This window comes from Homo sapiens, chromosome 8, assembly GCF_000001405.40.
Source record: "Homo sapiens chromosome 8, GRCh38.p14 Primary Assembly".
Taxonomy (NCBI): domain Eukaryota; kingdom Metazoa; phylum Chordata; class Mammalia; order Primates; family Hominidae; genus Homo; species Homo sapiens.
In genome coordinates this window covers 72045792-72059746 of record NC_000008.11, presented here as the reverse complement: position 1 = coordinate 72059746, position 13955 = coordinate 72045792, and the positions used below count along the sequence as shown (strand labels likewise).

General features: G+C 34.8%; 1 protein-coding gene and 1 long non-coding RNA gene across 5 annotated transcripts in view; one reads left to right on the top strand and one right to left on the bottom strand.

The window, feature by feature from the left end:
• The window catches only part of TRPA1 (transient receptor potential cation channel subfamily A member 1), a 68761-nt gene that overhangs the window by 30264 nt on the left and 24542 nt on the right, over nt 1-13955 (top strand). For all 3 annotated transcript variants that reach the window (XM_011517625.3, XM_011517624.3, NM_007332.3), the window contains 10 exons: nt 309-357; nt 1931-2030; nt 2730-2830; nt 3892-4061; nt 4147-4311; nt 5880-5994; nt 6982-7148; nt 8876-8969; nt 12540-12599; nt 13139-13234. In XM_011517625.3, coding sequence (XP_011515927.1) covers nt 309-357; nt 1931-2030; nt 2730-2830; nt 3892-4061; nt 4147-4311; nt 5880-5994; nt 6982-7148; nt 8876-8969; nt 12540-12599; nt 13139-13234 — 1117 coding nt within the window. The remainder of the gene's footprint in view (nt 1-308; nt 358-1930; nt 2031-2729; nt 2831-3891; nt 4062-4146; nt 4312-5879; nt 5995-6981; nt 7149-8875; nt 8970-12539; nt 12600-13138; nt 13235-13955) is intronic.
• Nucleotides 3435-13955, bottom strand: part of MSC-AS1 (MSC antisense RNA 1) — a 213190-nt gene continuing 202669 nt past the window's right edge. For both annotated transcript variants that reach the window (NR_033652.1, NR_033651.1), the window contains one exon: nt 3435-7208. This is a non-coding gene — a long non-coding RNA (MSC antisense RNA 1). The remainder of the gene's footprint in view (nt 7209-13955) is intronic.

Genomic DNA, 13955 nt, shown 5'->3' with positions numbered 1-13955 from the left:
TATCTTGGGACAGACGTTACTACTCACTTCAAACATCTTTACGGTGATTTTACAAGATAAAATAGGTTTCTTAAAGGATGAGGAAGAAAATATGATGTATTTGGTGTTCTCCTATTATTATTACTTTGAAAATGCTACCCTAATCAGAATCAAATTATAAATTTTGAAAGCTTACTAATTCTCTAACATTCTATCATGTTATTTTATGATTAGTTAAATTCACTTTCCGAATATAGTAGCTTTATTAAATACATTTTATTTACATCAATAGTACTTTAATTATAATGTTTATAATTCTGTTTTTTCAGAGCTTCATTGTTTGATCACCATGAGCTAGCAGACTATTTAATTTCAGTGGTAACTATTCCTTTTACTGGTTTATTTTTATTACTATTTATAATTTAAGAAATCGTATAATTACATAATATGGATTTTCAAAAATGAAGCAAATTTTGATTTCTTGCTTATCAGCAAAAAGTATACAAAATGATGATTGACATACTTGGAAGCAGAGTATATTGCATATGAATACGTAACAGCCAAACTATTACAGTTAGAAGTGTCAAAGCGTAATTTGGATATCCATATCAGTGTTTTTAGTGCAGGAAGTTGGCAGGTACATTGCAAGGAAAGCTGTTCCCATGGCCTGTAAGAGGGTCTTCCGGGAGTGTGAGCTTGGGCGGTGCCCCTTCTTCAGCCCTGGTGGCTTTAAGGTGGAGGCAGGACAGGCAGCACGGGGGGAAACTCCTATCCCAGATGCCTCAGTGCCACCTTTAAAAACTGAGGAGTTGAAAAATATTGTCAAAGATTTATTACAAGTGAAAGCATGAAGCATGAGATCTTTTTCACTCTGGGAAGTGGAATCAGTCAGCTTTTGAGTTGAATTTTAATATGCCCTTTATACGGATGAATGTATGGTGAATTTACGTAAGCTGCACCATATCAGCAATGACGGATTTCCATTTGTAGTATTGAACGTGTGTGTGTTGTCAATCATAACTATTGAAATTATGATAATTACAGAGAAGAGTGCTGGGGAGACTCATTATATGCCATAAACTATGCATTATATGCCATAAACCATAAACCATAGTCATGCATGGTTTCCTGCAAAGGCTGCCATCTCTTCACCAGGCAAGAGAACTGTGGCAGAGCCTCACTGACCGTGGAGCTTGCCAAGGGGATGCTGCCCCCATTGTCATCTATATTCATTGGGCCCCAAAAGAACAAAGAAATATTCACGTTTGGATTTTAAGCTATTTTTTATTACCCTATATAAAATACAGGATTATTTCCATGAAATTTTAAAAGGCCTTTGATTTCTTGTCATATCAAATATTATAATATGTAATGGTTAACATTGACTTATTCATTTAAAAATATATGTTTAATGTGATTTTTAAATATAAATTTTCTTAAATAAATGTTTGGCTAAAGTTTTACTTTAGAATTTGAGTGATTTCGATTCAATTATTTCAGTTCATCTATTTCCAATAAAATAGGATTTTTAAAAAAAGTGAATGGTGTTTTGTAAATGTTTCTTAAATCATATATGTAATGAATTTGGGAGAGTTTTAAAATTATAGACATTTAAAAATTATTTCTTGCAGTGGAAACTAAACTTGATCTAAGTAAAAAGATATTATTTTTATGGTTCAAGCGGTAACAAGAGCTATTGCCAGGTGTAAGTAAAAAGCCTAATATGTGAGAATAATTTCTTGTTGAAATTATAAACGAATTTCTTGATTTCTGATGATACAACATATGAACTATGGGAAACTTTCAAATAATTCTATAACTAGTCGTATGGTTCAGTGCTAGCCATAATATAGACACTCTGTATCAATGAATTACCATTAGTTAGAGATTACAATATATTATGATTTATCTGTTTCTAAGCTCTTTGTTGAATGGTTTGTTTGATTTTTAGGGAGCAGATATTAATAAGATCGATTCTGAAGGACGCTCTCCACTTATATTAGCAACTGCTTCTGCATCTTGGAATATTGTAAATTTGCTACTCTCTAAAGGTACCAAGAGGGAACAAGCCAAGTCTTTTGAAGTGCCACTCAATTTGGTTGGATGAACATTCACTGTGTGCCAAATGAACATTCATTGTGTGCCACCATCTATTGTGTGCCAGGCCCTGGGCCAGGTGTTGTGAATTTAAAAATAAACAGAACAGTTTTCATGTCTAGAATAATTTTCTGTCCAGTAAGGGAGCATACTTAAAAAGATAATTTCAGAACAATAGTAGAGAACATTTATAAAGCAATTGTTATATCCCAGGCATTTGCTGAACATTTAATTAACTGTCTTTCAATGTATCAGTCCTGTGTGGTGTAGGTACTATAACTTTCCCTGTTTTAGATTCTAACCTGGGCCTCTGATAACAAAGGAGCGAGGTGTCCTTCTCTGCTATCTTCTTCTTTCTTGATCTCTAATGTGTCTATACTTACATTTTATGCTTTAAAAGGTAAGGCTTCATGTATTTATGTAATGCATCACATATTTTCTACCCCACTTACACATACAGACACACACACACACAGAGAGTAAGTTAAACCTGATTTTAAATATGTTTAGTTTTCTCATCTAAACACAATTTCCTGTAAACTAAAGGTCGACAATATTTTTAGTCAAATTTTTTTTTGCTAAGTTGAAAATCCACGTAAACATTGCTTTAAATAAATGAATAGAATTTATATTTACATAGTGTTTTTTTTTAGGTGCCCAAGTAGACATAAAAGATAATTTTGGACGTAATTTTCTGCATTTAACTGTACAGCAACCTTATGGATTAAAAAATCTGCGACCTGAATTTATGCAGGTAATGTATATCTGTGGATTGCCATTAACTGAGTTGGGTTCAACAGAAAATAAACTAATTTTGTTTATTATAATTTTTGTTATTATATAAACTGATTCTGGAATTTTAAAAATGTTTTAAAATAAAGATGACATATTTGACTATTTAGTTACAACATGGTGATGGTGGTGGTGGTGATGATTATGACAATGATAATTAATTGTAGTGAGACTGAGTTTTTTAACTTACAAAGAAACTTAATATGCAGTCATCTATGATAAAGATAACATCCTTAATTAGTTTGATTTTCTTCATTCTTTGACCATTATGATTTGCATATCAGTGGAAAAGCCAAATATAAGAATGAATTATCAATACTCCACCATCAATTAAGAAAAATTACTCAGCATACTTGACTTTCTGAGGAGAGGTTGAAAGCATTATTTTTATATTTATATTCACCAGCTAATACTTACTGAGTGACTAGCACATGTATGTGAAATACATCATATTTTTATCATCAATAGATTTCAATATTGCCAGTATTTAATAATCAAAATATATATGTGTTTGAATATTTAAAAAATAACAAAATATTAATTGATAGGCTTAAGCTTCTCATTTATCATTCATTTTTTATTTACTATACATATAAAACATAAAATAAACCTAATGTTTACATCCCATCCATTTTACCTAACAGAACATATTAACATGAAGCTGTTGGGTGTTATTTGGGGGTGGGAGGAAATAAGAGGAGGGGCAGAGGGAAGGGCCATGATCAAATATATTTGAAAAATGCTGAGTTAAAAATGTTAAGTACATTTTCCTATTGGCATGATCTCTCAGATCCTTTAATACAGTAATGTACACTAATATGGTAATGTACACTAAATGAAGACAGAGCATTCAACTTCATTCATATTTATATTACTCTCAAATCCTTTAGGTTATTTACAATTTTGGCCCCAAGGAATACATATTGACCCTTGTTGGAAAATATTTTCCTACAGAATAGTTTGAAAACCATCATATTAGCATAATAGCAGAGTTATTTGTATGATATTAATTTTTTCCTATAGATGCAACAGATCAAAGAGCTGGTAATGGATGAAGACAACGATGGGTGTACTCCTCTACATTATGCATGTAGACAGGGGGGCCCTGGTTCTGTAAATAACCTACTTGGCTTTAATGTGTCCATTCATTCCAAAAGCAAAGATAAGAAATCACCTCTGCATTTTGCAGCCAGGTAAGGGTCAGTCTAGCAATGTATGAACATGTCTTCTTTCTGTTTAATATTTGCCTTGAAAATATGAAACCTAATTTTTTCCAAGTTATGGGCGTATCAATACCTGTCAGAGGCTCCTACAAGACATAAGTGATACGAGGCTTCTGAATGAAGGTGACCTTCATGGAATGACTCCTCTCCATCTGGCAGCAAAGAATGGACATGATAAAGTAGTTCAGCTTCTTCTGAAAAAAGGTGCATTGTTTCTCAGGTGAGGATATATGATTGGAGTGTTTATATAATTTCTTTAATTAGCCATTTTCAGGCTATCTTTTCATTATATTTTTAATTATGAGGTCTAACTTTATATCTCACTAAGTACTTTTATCCAATTTATTTTTTCATCAAAACATATGTAACTTCTAAAAATACTGAAAGGGAAGTCAGTATTATTTCCAACTGACAAAGACTTTGAAGTTTATAGCGTTGAAGAACCTTGTTCAAGAATATTCTGTTCACAGAATAATTGGCTTTGTGCAGTCTTTCTCAGAACCTTTCTTTGAAACATAGTTTCTCATATTTTACCTCATCATGCTGCCATATTCCTATATAGATACAAAACTGTGGTTGTGTATGTGTGTATGCACGTACACACACACACAAAACATACAAGTTCAAATACTCTACTTTTCATTCAATCTGATGAATGGTAGGCATAAAAAGTTCCCTTTAAGTGACAACAGGAGATGGTAAAAATTTCTGAATTTTATTATACTTAAATGAACTCAAGTACAAGAAACAAAGTTAAAATATGTAAGTATAATAAAATATGTGGCATAATTAAATGATATTGTGATAAGAAAGAAAAAACCTGGAAATGTTTTACAGAGGTTTTTCATTTGATATCTTACCATAGCAGTAGCAAAGAGCTTATTAGGCTAATGTTCAAAAACACATTTCCTTACCATAATATTGATGCCAGCAAATTGGTGCTACAGCTACATGAATGAATGTTTTGCTCAGTTTTTTCTGGTTTACAAAGAAACACCAAGCAACTGACCTGCAAAGGGGACCGAAGTAGACCCAGGCCAGACAGTTGTTGCTTAATTACATCATAACTGAAATAGCAACATGGCTCTTGCACCCTAAAACATCTGCTCACTAGCACTGAAATTAAATAGTGTCAAGAATTTTTTTCTGTCTAATTTGAAAAAAGATAGCTAATATGACAAGGCTTTGTTGTATTTACATCTTGAATTTCTGTGGAAAAGGATAAACATTTTTCAAAGCAATTGAGTAAGCATTTTTCAGAGCACAAGAGGGAAGCTTTTTAGATTTAAACTCTTAGAATAATAACTGACACTAAGCTAAGCATCTTATAGCCATGTATCATATTACTAGTAGTATTACCAATAACTATTGACCACAAAGACTAACATTACTTCATAAAAAAATTTTGATACAGTGTTCATTGAAAGAATAAAACAAGATTTAAATTGATGTGTATCAGTTCATTATAGCTTTAAAAAAATTAGGTATGACACAGACATGCTAAGCGTACTTCTCCTACCCCAAAGTGTTTGGTAATGTGTTTATATACTTTCATATTTTAAACCACTAAGTAAAAAACGTGTATGAATCACATTAGAAATAGGTCATTTAAGATCATTGAGCTTGGAATTAGCTCATTTATTATAAATGTTTTATAAATATTTAGTTGCCAGATCTCAATAATGCTTTTTGTTGTCATCAGATTTACCTAGAATAAGCCAAGTGGCATCCCATCCCGCATTTCATCTGTTAAGTGTATGCACACATCTTTTCTTAACTCTTTACCAGTGACCACAATGGCTGGACAGCTTTGCATCATGCGTCCATGGGCGGGTACACTCAGACCATGAAGGTCATTCTTGATACTAATTTGAAGTGCACAGATCGCCTGGATGAAGACGGGGTATGTACTGCGGTCCTCATGCTTACCCAAAATCTCAATATAGCAGAAACTTCCAACATTGCCAGAAAACTCTCCTAGACACCTTTTACCTTCCTTGCTCTATTCCCAGCCTTTTGTTGGGTGTTTAGCAAGTGGATTCTTGAGGTGAAGTATGAATCAAAAGGCAACAGAATTGGGAGAATACCAAGGGGTGGGTGAATGTTGGGGAAACCTCCAGTCTCACAGAGCAGCGAGGTCCACAGGCCAATGAAATTTGATGGTAAAGCGTTTACTCCCTGGTAGGTCCAGAGAAATGAAGGCAGGGGTGAGTTTTCATTAAGATAAGTGTTATTTTGAAGTGTATTGATTTGAAATGCTGCCCTTTATTGTGCTATTATGTCTTTCCTTCCTTTGGGGAGAGTAACTTTTGAAATGTACGTTTGTTCATAAAATGATGGGGATAGAAGACTGTTGTTGCCTTTTTCAAAAAAAAAAAGTCTTTAAGTGGAGAAACTAAAAATGGGCAAACTTATAACAGTCTCTGATTTTAAAAAACATTTACAAGCTTGTGAAGCCCCAAATCTGTAAGCCACTGTTCTACAAATGATCAATCTCAGGAGGATTTTCTTCTGTGTTCAACCCAACATCTTTACCCTGAAAGCTTGTCCTTTGTCCTTGTGGAATCATCCCATTGCAAAAGCAACACAAAACAAATGCCTTGGAATTCATTCTCTCTCTCTCTCTCTCTCTCTCTCTCTCTCTCTCTTTCTCTATCTCTCACACACACACACACACACACACACACACAGATCCACTTCCCACACATGCACACACACCATGCTAGAACTATAAACTCATTATTTTGAAGCTTGATTCTGAACACCAGTTTTAAGTGCTATGTATTTTGGTATTAAATAGTGTCGCTAATGTCTTTTAAGCAGTTAAGCAGTGAAATAAGACAGATTAGACACTGTCACCACGTTTTCTGTGTCTGTTTTTCTTCAAAAGAACACTGCACTTCACTTTGCTGCAAGGGAAGGCCACGCCAAAGCCGTTGCGCTTCTTCTGAGCCACAATGCTGACATAGTCCTGAACAAGCAGCAGGCCTCCTTTTTGCACCTTGCACTTCACAATAAGAGGAAGGAGGTTGTTCTTACGATCATCAGGAGCAAAAGGTACACTGTCTTCCTGTCCACTGTCATTTAGTGTTCTCTGGTGTTGGGATGATTTGAAGTCTGAGACAAAATAAGAGAAAAGAAATGATTTTCAGCCATTAATCAAAATTTAAAATATCAGTTGTTTACATCAATTTTTTAAAGGTTTTTTATTTTTTATTTTTATTTATTTATTTTTAGAAAAGGTCTAGCTCTGTCGCACAGGCTGGAGTGCAGTGGTGTGATCTCTGTTCACTGCAACCTCCGCCTCCCGGGCTTCAGCAATTCTCATGCCTCAGCCTCCTGAGTAGCTGGGACTATAGGCATGAGCCAGCATGCCCAGCTAATTTTTGTATTTTTCATTGAGACGTGGTTTCACCTTGTTAGCCAAGCTGGTCTCAAACTCCTGGGCTCAAGTGATTCGCCCACCTCGGCCTCCCAAAGTATTGGCATTACAGACATGAGCCACTGTGCCTGGCCATTTTTATTTTTAATTTGTGTGGGTAAATAGTAGGTGTGTATATGTATCAGGTACATGAGATGCTTTGATACAGCCATGCAATGCATGATAATCACATCATGGAGCATTTATCATTTGTGTTACAAACAATCCAATTATACTCCTTCAGTTATTTCTAAATGTCTACCTAAATTTATAAATGAATTCTTTTGGATGACAACAGGCACATTGCTTAACCTCTCTGATCTTTAGTTTATATTTCTTAAAAAATAAAATGTGGGCACATAAAACCAAGCTTCACATCACTCTTGTGAGACTCCAGGGGTTCAGGTGTTGGTGGGTTTCTAAACCATACTCCAAGGAATTTTAGTGATGAAGTTAGAGGATAGTTAGTCTCACTTCTCATAATATCTTTATAATATCACTTTCTAAAATAATCACTGATAGTTATGCACGAGGGCCCAGTGTCACCTAGTAGTGGACACAGAGCGAACAATCTCATATTCAAGGCACATCAAGCCTGTGTTTTTGAGCATGGGCAGTCTAAAAAATCTCCGACTGATCATCCCTTTAAAGCACTTTTAATGAAAGTGTTCAATCCAAACTTTTCTTTTGATAATGTAGATATACTAGATGGGTTTTACTGATAGAGTTTAACAGAAAATTAGATAAGATCTTGGAGATAATGGGCCATTCTTTGCCTCCTGCCATAGATTTAGTTCCTCCTTGGTATGGTAAGCACCGTCTTACCCTGTTCAGTTGGATGGTGATGAAGAAAATGGGCAAAATCTGGAATGTTCTGGCAGAGGCTATGCTTATCAATGCACTTTACATGTGTTAATTTGTAGTTTAACTCAATACAGGATGTACACATGTATTAGTTATTAAATATGGGACCAGTACTACACTGATGGTGTAGGCATGTGAATGTGGAATCTCTACCCAACGTGGTCAGCTCTGTAAGTACTGACCATTTCATAACTTCAGGAGAAAAAGAAGATATAGTCCCAGCTTCTTTGAATGGCATTTAGATAAAGAGACAGAACAATGATTATAATAGCCATCCTGAAATTTGCCCACATTCCTAATGTCCATTAATGGGCAAGGATCCTATTACTGAGTTGATCTTGCTTTACATGTTGGTTCCATTGGAACCAAGGGTGAGCATTGCATTTCATGAATATGCTTAAGTTTAGGTTTCCCCTAAAGAAATAATCTTGAGTTTCAGCTGTTGTACAGAACAGAAGGATGAAGACCTGTGCTTATCTTACTTATTTATTTTTTACAGATGGGATGAATGTCTTAAGATTTTCAGTCATAATTCTCCAGGCAATAAATGTCCAATTACAGAAATGATAGAATACCTCCCTGAATGCATGAAGGTAAATTCTCTAAAACAAAATTCTTCCCGGGTTTATGCTTGACATATGTTGTTGTAATCACAACCTAATAATAATAATTTCCAGCTTTAAACAAAGCTTCTCATTTTCCATAGGCTGTAAGGGAAATGAGACAATAACTATTTAAGGAAGGCCTTCTTGGATTAAAGAATCCTATTAGTTATTATATGTAATAGAGAATAATATGGTAAAATATTTTTTATTTAAATAATCTACACCTGTAACAGAGACTACAAACTGGTGTTTGTTGGCTGGTAAAGCTTTTGTATATGTTTCGCTTGGCATGCATGCTATTGTTGTTTCAAATGTGCATGAATTGCTAATGTTTGAAACCAGGATGCTTTCCTTAAGGTATCTGGTTTCTTCCAGTTATATTTTCCTCCAAATATCTAGCTTCTCATAAGAATGAGATCTTGTACCTGGGCCTGCCTTCTCACAAGGCAGGAATTGCTGGGCTCAGCACCAGCTGCTTCCCATGGATGGGACAATCACTCTCCTATTTAAAAACATGGATGAAGCTGGAAACCATCATTCTGAGCAAACTGTCACAAGGACAGAAAACCAAACGCCACATGTTCTCACTCATAGGTGGGAATTGAACAATGAGAACACTTGGACACAGGGTGGGGAACATCACACACCGGGGCCTGTCGTGGGGTGGGGGGAGAGGGGAGTGATAGCATTAGGATAAATACCTAATGTAAATGACAAGTTAATGGGTGCAGCAAACCAACATGGCTCATGTATACATGTAACAAACCTGCACGTTGTGCATACCCTAGAACTTAAGGTATGGTAAAAAAATAAAAATTAAAAAAAAAAATAAAATAAAATGCCCCACCTCTCCCTTTTGTATATTGGGCTCCAGTGCCTAGTTGTCACATATTGTCATTCTTATGCAATTGCTTTCCTTATAGTAGAGAAGTATTGAATTATGACTTTATCCAAACTGTGAAGATAAAAGCTTGCCCAAGTATAGCCAACATCTCAAGAACAATGGAAAAAAGCTCTTATGCCTGGCATGGTTCTTTCATTTACATTACTTGCCTGGCTTCTGTGGGTTCTTAAACATGTGACCCCTTTTGCTACGTTAAATACACACTAGCATATGACCGGACACCCCAGACAAGACAAACATGCACAAATTGTTGAGCAGATGAGTATTAAAGGATGCAAATAAGCAATCTGGGAAAGTTGGGATTTGAGGGTTGGGACAGACAGAATAACCAAGAAAGGCAGAATGACTTCAGATGTCATGCAAAGGAAAAATATATACAAATGCTGGAGGAGGCAGTAAGATATAATGACACAGGGAATAGAAGACCAGATTTGGAGCCTTCTGGAGGTCCTGGGATTTAATCCTGGTGCTGCCTTTTGCTGTGTTGTTTTAGGCAAGTCATTTCACCTCTCTGAGCATTATTTTCTGTTTTCTCTATTTCTAAAATAATGATGCTAATACTGATCTTACAAAGTGATTACAAAAGTAGGGGTAAAATGTATAAAGTGCTAAGGATAATGGTTTGTACATAATATACCTCCTACTATTTTTGTGCTGCTTATGTGGTTATTAGTACTACTAGCACTTATTGTTCTTTATTTATTGAACAAGGACTTCCTGTGCACCAAATATTTTGGACGGTTTTTTTATGATGCCTAATGAAAATTGGAGCCAGTCCAGTACACAAATGGCATACAGATTAACTTTTTAGGTGCCTACATCTCATCAAAGGACACATAAATACCTAATCTCAAACTTTCTTATTCTGTAGTTACAGTTGTTGAAATCTGTCTTGATGAATAATCAGAGATACAGATTTTTACAGAATGTTTCCTGCAACATTATTTATAATTGTAAAACAATGTTGAAATATTCACATGTGGAAACATAGTAAACAGTCGAAATTATACCAAAATGTTAATAAGAATTATCTGTTATAGGATTAGGATTAGTTTTTAATTTCTTCTTTATGCTACTATATTTTCTAGGTAATTTTCTATAATGACTTAATTACTTTTATATTGTGACTACTTTTCAGCAAAATAAATGAACTTACATGTCTTAATTTAGCCGGACATAATGCATTTGAAATACTTATACAACATTTCTGAAAAGTTGCTCTTGAAATCTCCCCAGCCCCCACCCAAGACAGCCCATCCTTTATTTTGCACACGTTGATTATTATCCAGTTTTCAAACTATAACAACCAGACCTGCCTGTTTCTGCCTTGCACAGCACTACTGGCTAGTCTTGTCTTTATTTTTCATGATGGTTGTTGTGACCTCCAGTACTGCTATCTAGTCACCAACAGAGACTTCCTTGTAATTTTCTTAGTCCCTTTGGTACCTGAGACCAGCCATGGCCCTGTTTCTTCCCTTCTGGATATAGTCTGACCCTCTACCCTCAAGTTCTACAGGTTCACCAGATGCCCCAGGAGGTCCTAGATGCATTGATGGGGCCATATGGGGTATTTTGTCTAGTCCTGGTTCCAAGAGGGCAGCCTGGCTAGGTGATATTTCTTTCTCAGGACCATAAATTTGGACCACTAGATTTGAGGTGTCTCAAATTGTTTATGCAGCCCCACAAAAACAGTTGTTCCCACACACCATAGAGGTGGCTCTATTGACCCCATAAGTGTTCTTTCCCTGAGTTAAGTATCTAGAGAGTCTTCATCTATTTCTCATTACAACATCTATCCCCCACCATCCTGTCCACCCCCCTCTAAACACATACTCTCTCCGTGTTGCTTGGCACATGAGGTATAGAAGCAAACACATTACTCCAGACTGGGGCAGTTCAGAAGATGGGAACTAAACCATAGAAAGACTCCATTGCTGGGATGAAAAATCTTGATTAAGAACAATAAGTTGTCACAGTAAGGTACCCAGCAAAGGAATCAGATTGACTATCCTTTATCCCAACTTCTTGGGACCAGAAATGATTTGGATTTCAGAATATTGGCCTATATATAATGAGGCATCATAAGGATGGGATCCAAGTGTAGATACAAAATTCATTTGTGTTTCATACCCTCCTTAAAAGCATAGCCTGAAGGTAATTTTATATAATATTTTTAATAATTTTGTGCATGAAACAAAGTTTATATTAAGTACTCATGTGTGGAATTTTCTACTTATGGAAATATGTGGGTGCTCAAAACATTTTGGATTTTGGAGCGTTTAGAATTTCACATTTTCAGATTAGGATTGCTCAACCTGTAATCTATATATCCTCTAAAAGTCCAGAAAGACATCAAATCTTAGGCACAACTAGTGGAATATCTCTTGCCTAGATTTTAGTACATGCAATTTTATTCTCAAGTACATGGTATTTTTTCTGAATCACTGGTATTTCTGAGGCATGCAGAGGTATTTGTAACATTTTGTATTTTAAACTTTGTTCCTGAATGACATAGATTATAATTTATTCTTGAGATGCAAGAAACCAAGGAAAGGAAAGGGAATGTCTTGTGTATTATTTCAGAAATAGGATAAAATCTTTCCTAATATGTAGTGTACTGCCCCAATATCTTAGCTGGTTTTTCTCTTTCAAAGGTACTTTTAGATTTCTGCATGTTGCATTCCACAGAAGACAAGTCCTGCCGAGACTATTATGTAAGTTTATTTTATCATCATTATCTGAAATTTATTTTGTTATAATTCTTTGAAAAATATTAAAAATATTGTTACTATTGATCTGTAATCTACTGCAGATGGTATTGATCTAATTTGTCATATTATTGTATTATCTACTTGTGAGAGAATTTTTCCCTTACATTCTCAGTTTTCCCCGAATATTTTAATAGTTTCTAATAGCATCATTTAGTGTTGTTTCTAGTCTTTATGTTTTCTTAAGTAGTTGTGCCTTAATAATGAAGATCTAAAAGATCTAAATGATCTTTTGAGAACTCCTCTCTTTCCATGCCTATGAGATACAAAGCAATTGAATAACAGGCTTCCAGGATATTTATTTTTAGAATTAATATGCAATAACTTAATTTCCTTTCTCCACTTGAAATAACTCAACTTTGTTCAAATCACTTAATTTTCAGCAGAATTGTAAATTTGTGTATTTGATTTTTTCAAGAATTACTTTGGGGATTCTATACTTGACTAACTGTACATTTTTTTAAAAAAAATTCTGTCTTCTACAGATCGAGTATAATTTCAAATATCTTCAATGTCCATTAGAATTCACCAAAAAAACACCTACACAGGATGTTATATATGAACCGCTTACAGCCCTCAACGTAAGTTCAATGTTTTCATTATCTAAATAGTTTCTTTTTTTTCTTTTTTTTTTTTTATTATACTTTAAGTTTTAGGGTACATGTGCACATTGTGCAGGTTAGTTACATATGAGAAATACCATTTGACCCAGCCATCTCATTATCTAAATAGTTTCTAGTTGGGTTCTAAAATGTTTTGATACAATAGTCTAAAATGTTTTAATACTTGATGGATGGAGAGAATTACAGTTTTATAGTTCTATGTCTATATCTTCCATGTGACTCAAACCTTTATTTGTTAATAAAGAAAGCAATCCTTTTTTTCAATTGCTATAAAGTTCTACACTTCATTTCTAATGGTCACATAAGAACTGCTCCAATCCAGAATCAAATAAACCATGGACAACACAGGTAACACTTGCTTGCCACCTCTATCCACCTACATATTCAAGAGTTTTCTCCTGTGTAAACCACAGGAAAATGCAAGGGGTGATATTTCACAGCCACAGCTTCTAAGTTCAGCTAGCCACTGGGCTCCAAGGTAAACTCTGACCATTCAGAGGTTCTTAGATCTTAGATTCCAGATGAATGAACCCCATTGGAAGCAGGCTTTTAAGACACAGCATAGACTTAAATTTCCCAAGAAACCTTTTAAAAAGTAGCTATTATTTAAAAAGATGCTTTTATGTTTCTAGCCAATGAAGCAATGAAAATAATGCATTTGACCCCCTGTAGTCTAAAT